This window comes from Homo sapiens, chromosome 13 (genome assembly GCF_000001405.40).
Source record: "Homo sapiens chromosome 13, GRCh38.p14 Primary Assembly".
Lineage (NCBI taxonomy): Eukaryota > Metazoa > Chordata > Mammalia > Primates > Hominidae > Homo > Homo sapiens.
In genome coordinates, this window is record NC_000013.11 from 69,713,535 (window position 1) to 69,731,169 (window position 17,635).

General features: G+C 34.9%; 1 protein-coding gene across 4 annotated transcripts in view; it reads right to left on the reverse strand.

Moving 5' to 3' along the window:
• The window catches only part of KLHL1 (kelch like family member 1), a 407,856-nt gene that overhangs the window by 12,938 nt on the left and 377,283 nt on the right, over window positions 1-17,635 (reverse strand). For all 4 annotated transcript variants that reach the window (NM_001286725.2, NM_020866.3, XM_017020678.3 and 1 more), the window contains one exon: window positions 5,835-6,047. In NM_001286725.2, coding sequence (NP_001273654.1) covers window positions 5,835-6,047 — 213 coding nt within the window. The remainder of the gene's footprint in view (window positions 1-5,834; window positions 6,048-17,635) is intronic.

Below are 17,635 nucleotides of genomic sequence, written 5' to 3' on the forward strand. Positions count from 1 at the left end.
GTCATTGTATTAAGTTACATTTATTACTCTTTTCAATATTAAACCAAATGCGCCTTTATGTGATAAACTCACATTGGATTTATATACATGCTTTATCAAACTGATTCTGTCCTAAGAGAATTCTAAGAATTAAAGTTTTAGGGTAGATCCTAATATATTTGAAATGAGAATATTTTTTTTTCATATTTTAGTTTATAACATATAACTTTCTAAAAAACATATAAATAATGGTAGTGGTATAATGGTTACCCTTAGAGACAATATTTGTTGGTACACATGGTATTTCTACCAAATTTTACAATATTCTGGGTCATAGAGTAAACCTCAAATGATTACAAAACCTTGAAATAGTTTTGAGTTCACTGTTAATTTTAACCCCAAGACAGAGGAGAAAGCAGTCAGCACAATGTTAGAAAAAAATCTCCTCAATATATTCAGGGTGTTTCAGGCTCTTATGCTGATGATGTGCTTAATGTCTATTTTAAATGTGTAGTCTTTTTTGATATACTTATTGATATTCTCCCAACTTTTTAAATCCCCTCCTTAAAAATATAATGGGCATAGAATGATCCAGAAAGGAAGATGGAAAAAATAAATTTCTGCTTCCCTTCTCAATATCTGTTGTTCATTTTCAATGCAAAAAAAATTTTAAAGTTAATTTGATTTCAACTTCTGTATAATGATGAATGGAAAGTTCTATTTTGACTTACGTCATATTTTATTACATCAATTTTTCAAGGTTGAGGAGAGGAGAAATGAGTTGTTGACAGAACAAAAAGAAAACAAGAAAAAGCTAAACAGCTCTTTGACTCCTTTCAGATGCAGTTGTCACAATAAACCTTTAAAAATTATCTTAACTACTGTCAGTCAGCAGAACATGGATTATACCCAGGAAATCTGAATGCCAGTTTAAACAAACTTTAAAAATTGGATACGCTTAACAGTTCAAAACTAAAGAACAATAGATTATTTATATAATCACTTCCTCTACTAATATGACAGAAAACCATAATTAGCACTATAAATCCAAATTATTTTTATTTTATTTTATTTTATTTATTTATTTATATATTTTTTGAGACAGGGTCTCACTCTGTTGCCCAGGCTGGAGTGCAGTGGCAAATGATGGCTCACTGCAGCCTCAACCTCCCCAGGCTCAAGTGATCCTCCCACCTCAGCCTCCCAAGTAGCTGAGGCCCCAGGGATGTGCCACCACACCTCACTAATTTTTGTATTTCTAGTACAGATGGGATTTTGCTCTGTTGTCCAGGATGGTCTTAAACCCCTGAGCTCAAGCAATCCACAGTTCTCAGCCTCCAAAGGTGCCAGTATTACAGGTGTGAGCCACTGCACCCGGCCGATATCCTTCTATCTATATAGAATAATGCTTGTTTCATTTATTCGTGCATATTTGTATTTCCACAGAATCCTTCTTCCTCAAAACATGCAGATAAATTATCATGATGCCAGAAAAATTCTGGGCAGCATATCTAAGGACAGCAGGTTATTCTGTCACCTCCTTTCTCTGTCGCTCCTCATAAGCCATTGAGGGAAATAGCAAATCACATAACTAAATTGGTATAGCTATTGTATCAGCTAACGATTGCTGCATCTACTTAGAAAGCAGGGCTCCTAAATACTTAGGTTAGCATAGAATCCTTGATATGGTTAGGCTTTGTGTCCCCACCCAAATTTCATTTTGAATTGTAATCCCCAGGTGCTGAGGGAGAAACTTGGTGGGGGGTGATTGGATAATGGGGGTGGTTTCCCCCATGCTATTCTTGTGACAGTGAGTGAGTTTCCATGAGATCTGGTGGTTTTATAACTGTTTGGCAAGTTCCTCCTTCGTGCACTCCCTTGCCTGCTGCCATATAAGACATGCCCGCTTCCCCTTCTCCCATGATTGAGGCCTCATCAGCCATGTGGAGCTATGAGTCAATTATACCTCTTTTCTTTATAAATTACCCAGTCTAAGGCAGTTTTATTATTTATTTTTTTTTTTTTGAGACGGAATCTCGCTCTGTTGCCCAGGCTGGAGTGCAGTGGCGCGATCTCGGCTCACTCTAAGGCAGTTCTTTATAGCAATGTGAAAATGGACTAATATAATCCTCATATTAACATGGTCTATCCAAAATTTGAGCATAATTGCTCACCAATAGCAAACATTATGAATGCACAGTAACAGAAAAACAATGACAACAACAAACTAGCTAGTTCTTTGACTCTGCACTCATGCAGCTGACTCCAGCAATAATATATCGAATGAGAAAAGGTTTGGGGGAGGAAGGGGAAGGGAGAAGAAGCACATCACAATAATATATCAAAATTGTTTTGATACTCATTTGTTAATAGTATTTAGATAAGATATAAGGATATACTTTTCAATTAGTATTTGAACAATTGCTTACCTCTTGAGGCCCTATCTATCTCAAAAGTTTCCTCTTAAAATATATGGAAATAATACTCTGCCAAGATGAGGCAAATGCAAATCTGGATTTGCAATACCAAACAAATTTCTACCAAATTTTATGATATTCTGGGTCATAAAGTAAACCTCAAATGATTACATTTGCCTTTCCATGAATCCACCTCAACATCCACCCATCCTTCCGCTCTTACCAATCTATCTATCCATTTATCTTCTATAATTTCTCTATCAATTCATTTGTCTGTATAACAACCTATTTACAGTTTATCTCAAGAAAGTTTTCCTTGTGGAAATATTGAGGTTCATTTTTCTTAGTGTCTGACTGATTCAATACATTCTTGTTATGTGCCTATTCTGTGCCAGAAATTGTACCAAGCACAAGAATATAGAGATGGGTGGAAAGCTATCTTGGGCAGTATCAGCACATGGCACCTAGTTTAGTGAAAAAAAAAATGATGTAGAAAGAGTTTTAATTATAATGTTAATAATTGGTACAGAGAAATAAAACTCAATTTTTCTTTCTGGTCAAATTTGCAATATGAAATGATCCCTCTGGCAACTGTAAGAAGAATGAATTAGAAGATGCAGAAGTGGGTATTACAAAGTCTGGTATAGAAGGTTCCTATTATCTTGACACCCTTCTTTCACCAGCCCTCATTACTGGGATGCAGATGTGAGGGCAAAGGTGGTTCTGATCTATTTTTACTCAGCAGTGGGACTGATGCCTTTGAGCATATTTTCTGATCTGTTGCCTAGATTCCAATTTTGTTTGGTATCTTAAAGATTTACTTATTTATTTGTCTCTTTCTTCTAATACTGTAAGCTCTGTATAGCATAGTGCCAAATACATGAAAAACAATAGTTGCTGACTAAATAGGTAAATGAATGAATGTTCTTTGCCGAATAGATGACATCTTCTGGACCTAATTTCTCCTGAAACTCAATGCACATTTTGGACACTGATTTTTCCACCAAGATGCTCTTACTAGGGTGAGGCTCAGTCAGAAAATTAGTTTTCATCTGTTCCATAAACTATTCTAAAGTCCTCATTCTCATTCAGTCCCTGCCTTCTACCTTCTCTGATTTGAGGTGCCAGTATTATTTGTGCTTAAGACAGCCTGAGTGCAAACAATTTTTGATAAACATTATATAACTGTATTTAACACCACCATTATATAATAGTTTACATTTCTATAGGAAATCCTTGTGATATAATAAAATGTGATCTATCCATCTCTCTACAAAACATAGCATTGCACACTATTCTTGCTATTTCTAATGATGTTTGCCTATGATTATATACTACAGAACATTTTTACAGTCTATGTGCAAAGTGGTTCCACAGAGGCACAGTTGCATATCTTGATTTATTGAGGAGTTACATGTGAAATCATCAATATAGAAAATATGTTATAAAAAGTGCAAAAGTGCTATTAATCTGATGGGTAGTATGAGCTAGGATAAGAATCATGATACTGCTGTGTGCTTCTGCATTACTTAAGCTGCTCATATCCACTGCACTCCTATAACTCAAAATAGCCATGCTTATTTAAATGTAATTTTCCAACATAAATGTATTCCTAGACTGAATTATTTATGCCTCTATTCACAAACAACATTTCAATACATTATAAAGTCGAGTTGGATGAGAATATTTGGATGAAATATCATTTCATTGGCAGCATTTATATAAGATATTCAAGGTAAAAGTAGGAGGCTCATCATATTCATCTCTTCTCTTCGTTTACTCAAGAATTTAGCAGAGAAAATGTAAATGAGTCAGTTGTCAGTCTATTAGCAGCATTTTTAAAATAAATGATTGCACATTTGTGAGTATAAAAGCATAAACCTATTTATTAGGACTCTGGCCACTGTCTTCATTGTGACACCTGTAGTTCCTGATTTCCGTGGACTAGAAAATCTTAAAGTGAAAATGCAGCGAACTTAATGCCTTTCTCAATGTGTATACAGCCATAAAGCTACAGTCCATTTCACAGAGTGGCAATATTGGTAAACATTGTTTCTGTGTTTTATCCAATTTGAACACAGCCTGCTTACCAAAAACCATCTCTTGCCAATGGACTTATCAGTAAAAATAATTACTCATCCTTAGAAAAAAATGTCATAAATGGGAAAGAATATCCTTTTTCTACCATCTATACCACTTACAGGCCTCAATCAGGATACAGACTGTGTTTTCCTAACATAAAAAGGAAAATTTTTCTGCTGTCAGTGCTATCAGCTAAACATCTCGCTTTTCTCCCAGATACAAGTTGGGATACTGCTCTCCCAAAAAGCTTTCTGTGGCCATGTTACTGGTTTATCATTGTAGTACAAATAAAAGAGAATTCTATTACTTGCAGTTGAAATCTTTAAGGATCAGTGAAAAATTTACTACTCTCTGGCTTTTTCCTTTTGACATAGAGACCAGCAATGATCAATATTCTAGGTTTTTTTTTCATTTTGAGTACCAGAGTGGTAATATCATGGATATGTAGCATGAATGAGGAAAAAAAGCATCATGGTATTAAACCACTGAGAGTTTTAAAGTTATTTGTTAGAGTAGAGTTACTTATACCAATTGATAAACCAATTGACCTAAATATTCCCTATCCTCATTTCCCCATGGATCATTATGTATCCTATGTAATAGGAAATATTACCATGATCTTACTAAGGACTCTTCAGTCCTTACTACATACCATATAATAGTTCTAAGTAACGCACAGCCCAAAGAGAACTCAGCGATACCTGTGCCAGAAGTCTCTGCATAGTATTCCTAGGCCTGAAGCCAAGGTGTCATCCCACTCTAGCTTCTATGCACCTGGTCAATTTTAGAAAGAGTTATAAGAGAACCTATGTTTCCTTCTTACACCAGAATTATTAAAAATATAGCTCCAATCAGTCTGTCTTATGTTAAAAATGGTATGTCATAAAAGAACTTGATAATTCACCTTTGAGAGTTTGAAAGGGTAGTAAAACAAACAAGAACAGAAGAATAGAACACAGAAGCAAAATATCCAATATTTTTAAAAGCATTAACAAATATTCACTTTTATAAATCACTCAAAACTTCATTTTAATGTGTGTTTTAAAAGTATATCAAGAAGAAATTTAAAGATTATTTAAGGACTTGTGAAAAAACATTGTGGGGATTTAAATAAATATTAGTTGAAGGGAGGAAGCAAGGAATAAAAGAATAAGAAAATAAAAGAAAGTACGTGTGTGTGTGTGTGTGTGTGTGTGTGAGAGAGAGAGAGAGAGAGAGAGAGAAAGGAGTTAAAAATGTATCTCTAGGTGTTGAATTTACCCTTCCTAAATAATGCAATTTTTCCAATCACTTGAATCAGGCATCAATGTGATTTGCACTGTCTCTTTCGCTGTAACAGTGTCCTTGGGGTCTTACCTTTCTACATAATCCAGTAGCCGGGAACAGTGATTTGAAGCAGGAGCATCATGACCTCCTACTGCATAAAGAAAACCGTCACATGTGGCCACTCCGACACCCCCTCTCCTCTTACACATGGGAGCACACATGTTCCACTTATTTGTATGAGGATCATAATATTCCATTGAACTCAAACAGGAACTTCCATCACGACCTCCAACTGAATACAACCTAAAAACACAATTGGAAAAATGTGATTTAATATCATAGTCTGGATGACAAAATATAGAAAAGGTCCTTTAAAATAAATTTTCACAGTATGAGGCTCAAACGTGTTGGAAATATATTACTTTGCAGGGAGATTTTGTTAAAGATACTCAATAAATGATCATATATACTAGAAATTTCTATTTTTGTATAGAAATTGCAGTATACTAGATGAAATTAAGACAACTATAATTTTAACCTCTATTTCTAGAAACTTGGATAGATTTAAATTGCATACTGCAAAAATAAGTAATATTAGTATATTAGTTTAATAAATATTAAGAAATGGCTATTAAAATACAGAATAAAATATAAGACAGTGAACATAAACAGGAGAAAGGCATTATCCTATTTGTTGATAAGCAAGTGATTTGGCAGTATGTAACACATGCCTGCACCTTGTGTTCCATCCTCACAGTTTAGAACAATAAATAAATGTAATAAACTAAAAGTATTATCTTAACAACAACTTTCTTACTCAGTGCCTATACTATAGCTAAAAACAAGACTTTACAGGAAAAAAGAATGCAACAATGTTAGTATGATTGAAAATTGCTGAAGTTTACTTGATACACTCATCTTGCTATAATTATTTTATTAATGAGAAGTATGATAGAACCCCCCCAAAATAAGTTATGCATCATAAATGGTACTAACATGATTTGAATACAGTTTAATCCTAATAAAATAGTCCTTCCCCATTTAATCATAGTCATGATTTTATCACAGTAAGGCACAGCATTGCATTTATTTACTTATCCATTTGCTCACTACATATTTTTGAATGGTTAGGGTGTGTCACACATTGTTAAAACTTTTATTGATATGTCCATGAACAAAACAGGAAAAAAAATCCATGCACTCAATTCTGCTGAAACAGGGATAGACAGAATATACAAAGTAAACATAAATGTCATTTACTACTGGGGAAGGTTCAAAGTGCAAGGGACATAGAATCCAGAAGCAGGATCAGTAATGCAACTGGTGAGGGTAGAGATTGTGGATACAATTTAAATAAGTAACCAGAAAAGGTCTCACTGAAACCTTTTGCAAAAAAACTTGGAAGAGAGTGGTAGTGATTGGAGGTGAGTTCAGGAATATCTGGGGAAGGAAGATTTGAGGATGACTAAATAGTGAGTGAAAAGTTTCAGAAGCAGGAAGGAAGTCAGTGTGGCTGGGGCAGAGGCTGAGGTGAGAGTGGTGGTTCAAGGTGAATGGCAGCTTACAAGGTGCATGTAGACTTTTCTCCTGAGTACAACAGGAAGCCATAGTGGTTTTTGAATAGAGGGAGAATATGATTAGTTTGTGTTTTAATGAGATTAGATGTGTGAAAGGAAAATAAATCCTGGGACTCCCAAATCACTAAAGCCAAAGGGAAGTCAAGCTGGGAACTCCTTAGTGCAAACCTGCCTCCCATTCTATTCCTAGAAAAGATAGCTACTAAGATATATATATATATATAAAGCTATGTACCTCCCTTACAAGGAATTTCCTTGTGGACAAAGGACAGCAGACAGAACTCAAAGTCATCCCTCTGCTCACGGAGATAAGTGAATATCTGAGTGCCTCCTTTGGAAAGGCTAGTCAGAAACTCAAAAGAATGGAACCACTTGTCTCTTAACCTACCTATGACCTGGAAGCCCCCTCCCCATTTCGATTTGTTCCACCTTTCCGGAAGGAACCAATGTATATCTTACACATATTGATTGATGTCTCGTATCTCCCTAAAATGTATAAAATCAAGCTGTGCCCCAACCACCTTTGGCACACATTGTCAGGTCTCCCGAGGCTGTGTAATGGTCATGAGCCCTTAACTTTGGTAAAATAAACTTCTTAAATTGACTGAGACCTGTCTCAGATATTTTGGGTTCGCAGATGAAATTTTTTCTTTACTATGGACAATATATCCAATATAATATATTTATAAGTAGACTTAAATCTATAATATTCAATTTCTAAATAAATGCATAGGAAGACAGTATTACTTAGCATAAAATCAATCAGGATGTAGATTTACAAATTCATGCTCTAATACCATATAATAACTCTAAAATGTGATATGTAAAATTATTTTAAATCCTGGGAATGTTTTTCTAAAGCTGTTTATGTTTCTCATAATGGCTGCCATAGTAAAATATATCTGATTGCCCAAGTGTTCCCTTGATGCGTGTAATACCTCTTTGCTTGATTACTCACAAGTAGTCTGCTAACTCTCAATCTTGTGGTATGCTAAAATTAACCAATAGGAACATTTTAAAAAACAAGTATTGAACAATTTAGCTTGCAAAAGCACCCAGAAGTGAAATAATCATTCACTTACAAGTTTTTAATCATTCTAAACACCTTATGAAATCTGAACCTCACTTACTTCTGTTTCATTTAAATTGATGATTTAACTCAAAAGAAGTATGGAATAACCCTAAGATATTAAAATGTAACCAAATGTATTTTGCAGGGACTTTACTTATGGGCATCTTTCTGTGAGACACCTAGCACAGCTCTCGTACATAGTTTATAAATAAACATGATATGAACTTCTTATTCTCTATTGTTTTAAAGGAAATGTTTACTTCAAGCTGCTTTATTTATTCATAAACATTACTCTGATAAATTATACTATTGAGTTATTTGAACCAAATATTGTTGATAATTAATAATAAAATAGTTCTAGGCAATAATAGATCATACATTTTCTGTTTCTGAAATTATTTCAAAAATTATATATAAATATATACCTAAATTTACATTAAAAAGCAATGATGACATACAACCTACCAAGACTAAATCATGAAGAAATATGAAATCTGAACAGACCTATATCTATCTAATCTAGTATCAAACTACATATAGGTCTGTTCAGATTTTGGATATTGAATCAGTAGTCAAACTTCCCAACAAAGAAAATTCCAGGAGCAAACAGATATATGAATAAATTCTCAACAGCACTAACCATCAGAGAAATGCAAATCATAACCACAATGAGATATCGCCTCACTCCAGTTGCAAAAGCTATTGCCAAAAAAATTAAAAATAATAAATGCTGATGAGGATGTGAAAAAGGAGAAACTCATACATTGTTTATGGCAATGTAAATTAGGAAAACCATTACGAAAAACCATTACGAAAAACAGTTTTTTGAGGGTAGTCCCTCAAAAAATTACAAGTAGATTCACCATATGATCCAGCAATCTCACTACTTGGTGTATATTCAAAGGAAATGAAACCAGTATATAAGAGAAACAGCTGCACTTCCATGTTTATTGCAGCACTATTCACAATAGCCAAAATACGGAATCAACTAAATGCTCAACAATGGATAAATGGATAATGGAAATGTGCTCCATTTGTTGGAACACAATGGAATACTATTCAGCCATAAAAACAATAAACTCCTAATATTTTCTATAACATGGATGAGCCTGAAGGACATTATATTAAGCAAAATAAGCCAGGCACAGAAAGACAAATACCACATTATCTCACTCACATGTATACTCTAAAAAGAATGTCTCATAGAATTTGAGAGTAAAACAGTGGTTATCAAAGACTGGAGAGAACTAGTGGGGAGGGGTAGATGGAGAGAGGTTGGTCAATGGGTACAATTTTGCAGTTAGGAGAAATAACTTTTGGTACTCTATTGCACATTAGAGTGACTACGACTAACAATAATGCATTGCATAGTTTGAATAGCTAGAAGAGAGGATTTGAATGTTCTCACAACAAAGTAATGATACATGTTTAAGGTGATTAATATACTAATTACCTAATTTGTTCATTAGACAATATATACAAGTATCAAAACATAGCATTATAACCCATGAATATGTAGAATTATTATGTGTCAATAACAAAAAAAGAAAGTAAGCCCAGGACCAGATGACTTCACTGGTACATTCTCACTGTAAACCAAAAATAAAATTCTAAGGCTCCCAATGATATGAATAGACCCCTCCTCTTGGCCAAAGGCACTCTCGAGTTAACCTGAAAATCTCATTCAGGCCATGATAGAAGAGGAGGTTGGACATACCTCATTAAACCCCTCCAGCATTAACATCAACATAGACCTTAAGTCTGATATGAAACATTTACAATCTATTCTCTCTGAATGCTGCTACTTGGAGATTTCATCTACATGATAAAACCTAGGTCTTCACAACCCCTTATCATAACCCAGACATTCCTTTCGGCTGATAATAACTCTTTCAGCCAGTTGCCAGTCAGAATTTTTTTTTTTTTTTTTTCTGAGACGGAGTCTTGCTTTTTTGCCCAGGCTGGAATGCAGTGATCTTGGCTCACTACAACCTCTGCCTCCCGGGTTCAAGTGATTCTCCTGCCTCAGCCTCCCAAGTAGCTGGGACTACAGGTGCCCACCACCACGCCTGGATAATTTTTGTATTTTTAGTAAAAACAGGGTTTCACCATATTGGCCAGGATGGTCCGAACTCCTGATCTTGTGATCCATCTGCCTCGGCCTCCCAAAGTGCTGGGATTACAGTCGTGAGATACCGTGCCTGGCTACGTGTCAGAAAAATTTAAAGCCTATGTATGACCTGGAAGTCCCCAATTTTGCCTTGGAGTAGCCCACCCTTCCAGATTGAACCAATGTAAATTTTGCATGTAATGGTTGATGTATTACGTCTCCATAAAATGTATAAAGCAAGCTGTACCCCTGACCACCTTGGGCACATGTCGTCAGGACCTCCTGAGGGTGTGTTATGAGTGTGTCCTTAACCTTGGCAATATAAACTTTCTAAATTGACTGACACCTGTCTAAGAAATTTTGGGTTCACATCAGAAACACTTAAAGAAGAATTAATACTAATTCTTCTCAAATTCGTTCATATATTGAAGACAGAACACTTCTGAACACACTCTGTGAGGTCAGCATTGCCCTAATACCAAAGCCAGACAAAGACACCACCAAAAACAAACAAACAAACAAAAACTAGAGGCTAACATCCCTATGAATATACATACAAAAATTATCATCATAATACCTGCAAACTGAATCCAAGAGTACATAAACCATGACCAAATAGAATTTATACCTAGGATGCAAGGATAGTTCAACAAAAAATCTTGATTAAAGCCATACATACACCACATGAATAAAGGATAAAAATCACATGATCATCTCAATAGATGCAGAAAATGCATTTCACAAAATCAGCACATTTTCATGATAAAAACTCAACAAGCTTGGATAGGAAGAAATGGCCTCAATAAGAAAATTAATTAAGATGCTATATATTAAACCAAATTTGCCCAGTAAAAAATCTATTATGCAGGAGGAATAAGTGAATTAATAAATATCATGTTTACATCTGCTCTACTTATTTCCCCCAAGCCTCACCAGCGTGATTTGGAGCAACTCAAGTGAATGCTGCACATGTGGTGGGTTTGTTTCACATCCAAGGGATCTCTGAGTTTTGGAAACTCTAATCCTTTAAAGAGGCTGCCAGAAAACCTGTCCAACCTTTGCCCTGAAGGGAGACATTATCTTTATGATTCTGGTCAAGGAACAATTCTCTACTCTCTGACCAAGAGGAAGTCACTATCTTTATCTTCCAACTCTTTGATTTACAAATATCCTGAAAATATGTTATGAAAAACAGTCACCAGTAATTATTGTTTGGAAAATATGGAGTAATGCTAAAATCCCATGGACAATTGTCTGTTAACCCTCATGTCTTGATGTCCCAAAGTGGAGTCCCAGTTACCACAACCATGGTTCAAATAGCAGGATGAAGGAAAATTGGAAGAAGGAGCACCATCCCTCCCTTAAAGAGTCCATCTTTTAGGGTGCACAACTCACTTCTCACATCTCATAGGTCAGAACCAGACACATGGTTATACCTAGTTAGTAAGATGCTGGAAAGTCTTGTCTTTATTTTAGATGGCCATATGCCTCACTAAAAATGTGTGTTTATATTGTCATATAAAAAGGAGTGAATGAGTATTGGTGGACAATTAGCCAAACTCATTCATACTCTATCAGGCTTCACAACCTCATTTACCAGCTATGTGTTATAATAGTAGCAAGTGTCAAGAGGATTTTGCAATAGACATCATCATTTATTAGCAAGTAGAAAGAAAAGCGGTCACCAATGTATTGTTGTAGCTTAGTGAAATCCTGTTCACTGTCCTGTAAGGCATATTAACAAATACCTCCCACAGAAAGGCAGATATAAGAGTAATCTGACAGCAGGATTGACAAGCTTTCTCATGGCATCAGAAGAAAGAGCTAGTGCCATAGCACTAGATCTTTTCTAGCCCTATGTAGCATGGTGCATTCATATTTACTTTATCATAGGTAGCTTTTCATTACATATGCAGGGTTATGTCTACTCATCTCTCAGTCAGCTGAGGTTGTGTCTCCACTAGAAAGTCTTTTCTGATCCCATTTTGTCTTGTTCCCTGAAATTTAGCTTTATTTATAATCTGTATCCTATGTATAGTTATTTACAATTTTTCATACTTTACCAATAAAGGATATTTCAAGGAAAGTGCACAGAAAGCACTCCCATACCATTATGTAAATACTAGAATGTTTTGCTAAGTAGCTTGGGATATTAAATGTAATTTTCACTCACTGTATTTGGTTACCCAGAAAAAGTGTTTAGGCATCCTTTCTGTTGCACAATAAAAGGATTAGAATCCCTCAACTCCAGTGCCTTTGAAGAAACTCTCTAGATCCAGAACTTAGCTTGGTTCTTTGTTTTCTAATTAACGAAGAGCTCTTTCATCTGATGCCATGAGAAAGCCTGTCAATCCTGCTGTCAGATTACTCCTATATCTGCCTTTCCATGGGAAATATTTTAACGTGCTTTACAGGACAGTGAGTGGGATTTCACTAAGCTACAACAATACATTGGTGACTGCTTTTCTTTCTAGTTGCTAAGAAATGATGGTGTCTATTGCAAACTCCTCTTGTCACTTGCTACTATTATAACACACAGCTGGTAAATGAGGTTCTGAAGCCTGATAGGGTCTACCTACCTTTATTTATTAAAACATACCCAAATTTATGAAAAGAATCTGACAATTGTAAATATGTGAATTAATTTAGATCAATTCATCATGTATCCAAACTTGGCAGAATTCACCAACCCAAAACTGTCAGTTCAACCTTAATCCCTCCGTGTTTCCTCTGCTCCAACTCTACGCGTTTTATAATCCTGCAAATTATTTGTTATTGTTTTCTAGTTCCTTTTAGTATAATGTAAGCTCTCTGAGGGCAGAATTTATTTATCTTCTTTGATATATCATCATGACCAGTACATGTTTGTGAAATTTTTTAAAAAATGAATGAAGCACTTGTTTTTAATTCTAGAAAAAATAGTGATTTATCTGTGGAAACTTATCAATGAAAAAGCACCTGTTTAAGTTCCACTGAAGCAAGACTTTGACAAATGGCAGGGAAAATTATTAATTATGTGTCTCGGGAACACAAAAGTAGGGAAGAAAGAAAGATTAATTTTAACTGGGTGGATTCAAAAAGGGTTCATAGGAAAGGTACAGATTAAACTATGCTTTGGATGGTAGAAAATATAAATAATCTTATTTTGGTTTTAAGCAAAAGCAGATCTTAATATATTTTAACATTTCTTGACACTATTGTTCTTAAGTACAATAAACTCAGTCCTGTTAATACTGATCTTGCCACACAGATCTTGCACATAGAGAGCTAGACTTGGGTTTGTTTATCAATCTAGAGAGTTTTCAAATGTATTCAAAGACCAAGTGAATATTGAGCAGGAAACTAAGTGGACAGTGAATAGTGGACAGTCACAAGTTAATAAGAAAAAGCAATGAAAGGGGAATCTAGGCAGAAACGAGTAAGTGAAAAGGCAAAGGGGTGTGGACAATCTAGGTAGGTTCAGGGAGCTGGAATGATTTGGTATGGCTGGGACATCAGGTGGTTGTAAGGCAAGTGTCAAGAAAAGAGAATGGAGAAAGAAAGTGAAGTCTAAGCTATTAAAACCACTGTATTCTAGAATGAAGAACCTGGAAATGACCATGCTCAAATATGGCACCAAAATGAGTTGTTGAAATACATTTTAATTCTGAGGCATAATTTATTAAATAATACGTTTCAACAATTGGCATATATCTTAGCCAGTCAACTATTGTGATGAAATTCTACTAATTGTACAGTTTCCTTGAGCAATTAGAAACAACTCTTCAACCAGAGTGAATATTTATAAAATTGAAATGAAAACACATCACTGCTCTTTTTTTTTTTTTAATCTTTGCAATATTTTTACCTCAGCCAAGTTACTATATGATCTCTTTGGGGCCACTCCCTGCCAAACTTAAATTTTGCATTTTATATTCAAGGACTTGATACAAATTTTTCTTTCTTATTGGAATGATTCCCCCCATCACATATCCATTCTGGATATCTAATAAATCAATCAGGTCCCTTAAAAATCATCTCTTTCAGTATGTGAATTAAAATTCTCCTGAGCTGATTAGTAGCCCCAACTGAGATTCAGTAAACAGCAATTTCTTTTTTTTCTTTCTTTTTTAATGTGTGAGTCTAAGATTAATTAAAATGTATACAATTTGGGGTGCCACCTTTGAGAAGAAGAATACCAAAATTTGAATAAAAAATAGAAACAGAGTGTTGGAAGGCACTATGCAAGTGATGGACCTTGAGGCTTAAGGCACTGTGCTAGGTATTAGGACATAATGGAAAAACAACAGACAATGAATCCTGCTTTCGTAATGCTTTAAGCCATATGTGCTTCAGACTGAACAGAAATTACAACTGCCTTGTAAAAATTGTTTGTTTGTTTGTTTGTTTGTTTGTTTGAGACAGAGTCTCTGTCTCCCAGGCTGGAGTGTGCAGTGGCGCAATCTCAGCTCACTGCAGCCTCCGCTTCCCAGGTTCCAGAATTATTAGCATGAAGCTTTGCACACCTGTAATTCTAGCATTTTGGGAGGCCAAGGTGGGCAGATCACCTGAGGTCAGGAGTTGGAGACCAACCTGGCCAACATGGTGAAACCCCGTCTCTACTAAAAATGCCAAAAAAAAAAAAGCAAAGTGTGGTGACGTATGCCTGTAATCCCAGCTACTTGGGAGGCTGAGGCAGAATAATTGCTTGAACCTGGGAAGCAGAGGTTGTAGTGAGCTGAGATTGTGCCACTACACTCCAGCTTGGGTGACAGAGCGAGACTCCATCTCAAAAAAAAAATTATTAACATGAAGATTTGAATGAATGAATGAATGAATCCATTTTCCCATAGTAAATCATGAAAGAAACTCTGTTTTTATACATTTTGCAGATTCTTAAGGGGGTGGTACTACATATTTATTAAAATTCAAGCCTACTTATAAGATGTGTTCAGGCAGAATCAGTATCTGTTTGTGAGCTAAGAAAATTTTTTAAAAATCACAAAAAGACATCTTAGCTAGAATGTAAAGTGCAAAAGAACCAAGCCAAGACAGCTACCAAAGAAGAAACAAAAATAACCACTAATGTCTGTCTATATTGTTTGGGGAATCTGAGGTTATATTTGGCCAAGCACCACACATCGACGTTTATTCACTTTTTTTGTGTGTGTTTTCTTTATTCACCAAGTGAGTCTGGCTGTGCTGGCATATATACCCCTTAGCTTAATCTGTCTTACTAGAAGCCTCACTAAATTTGTTATATGAAATTGATGCAATTTTGGTCTTGAATCCGTCAGAACACACTCATTAATTTTAAGCCATAAACCAATTTCTTGGTTTTTTCTTCCACAAGAAATAGTGTCATGAATAACCTAAACTTAAGATAAGTGTTCATTGTTTTTTATTACTCTTAATTGGAAAAAGTGTTGAAAATAATATTTAGGGAAACAACAGCCAGGTTAGAATGACACATTAGTGTTACGTGATAGCAAAACAAGGGGAAAAAATCACGTCAGCAGAGGTGAGGAAAAAAACAAACAAAAAAATGTAAGAGGGTGATGTTAAAACAATTTTCTGCTATGGGTCTGAAGTAAAAGGTCATTTTCTAATGATTATGTTTCTGAGTAACATAGGAAAAGTACCCAGACATTAATAGCCAGTCATCAAACCACAGAATTTTAAAGCCATTAAATCACACCCAGGGAGAAGAAAAAGATGCCAAGTAAAAGCTCTACTAACTCAATTTAAAGGAAAAAAAATCAAGTAAAAAATGGAGCCATTCAAAACATTTTCACAGAATAGAATTAAAATTCATATTTAATTAAAGTGTAAGCAATTTTGGCAATGTAAGAATTAAAAACTTCAAAGAGTATTGATATCACACTCTGATATTTTTTACGAAGAAAGATACTAGAGCAAAACAGGATTTCTTAATATATGATGTATGCTAGCTGACCAAAAAATACAAGTACAGGAAAAGTAATCTGAATAGTGATTTCTATGTATAGTCAATTTAAAAGCGACAGTAGAAGAAACTAGATAGACAATTTAGTCATAACAACATGTAAGAAATTGCCACAAGACTCTGCGTTAAATATTTTCTCCATTTATTTCTGATTAAGATTGGAGAATATTTACAACAAAATACATATTTTAAGGTTATTCAAAGTAAAGTCATAAAGAAGGTCACAGAGCTATAATGCAAGCTAATTATCCAAAAAATATGGATAAGTAATGTACTAACACTTTAATGTGTGTGTGTGTGTGTGTGTGTGTGTGTGTTTTCATTACAAAATAATGTAAAAAGTGAATAAGATAATGAAAGGACAGGATACTTCTCACCCATATTAGGCAAATTTGCTGTGTTAATGAGATATCCATTTTAAAAACAATACCAGGAATAAATCTATTGCTGTCAATGTAAATGGTAAGAAAAAGTCACTAAATAACCGACTGTTACTTATAGTGATTAGAAAACATAAAAAGGCAAAAAGTATTATGCTTTCCTCTATTATCCTCTATTAGAATTATAAAAATTTACATCCAAGAGAACATCCATTCCTTTTTTTTTCCTGGATACAGGATCTTGCTCTATCACCCAGGCTATAGAGCAGGTGGCATGATCACAGCTCACTAGCCTCAACTTCCTGATTCAAGTAATCCTCTCACCTCAGCCCCTCAGCCTCTTAAGTAGCTTTAACTACAGGAGCATGCCACCATGCCCAGTTATTTTTAAAATTATTTGTAGAGATGGGGTCTCACTACGTTGCCCAGGCTGGTCTCAAACTGCTGGACTCAAGCAATCCTCTCACCTCGGCCTCCCAAAATGTTGGAATGACAGGGGTGAGCCACTGTGCCTGGACGGAGAACATTCATTCTACTATTATTGTAAGTTTTACTATCCATGAATAGATATACCCACTGGATAGTTTTACTTTTAATATTTAATATTGAAGAATGTTAAATTTTATCATTGACTTCCAAATTAAGTGTCTTTAAAGAAAAATATAGTAATGCTTAAAAAATCATTTTCAAGAGAAAATGTGAATATAAATAGAAAAAGTAGTATTAATAAATGTATATATTTACATGTTACACAAATTGGTGTTAATAAAATGTGTGTATTATTAAATATATACATTTTCTATTGAGT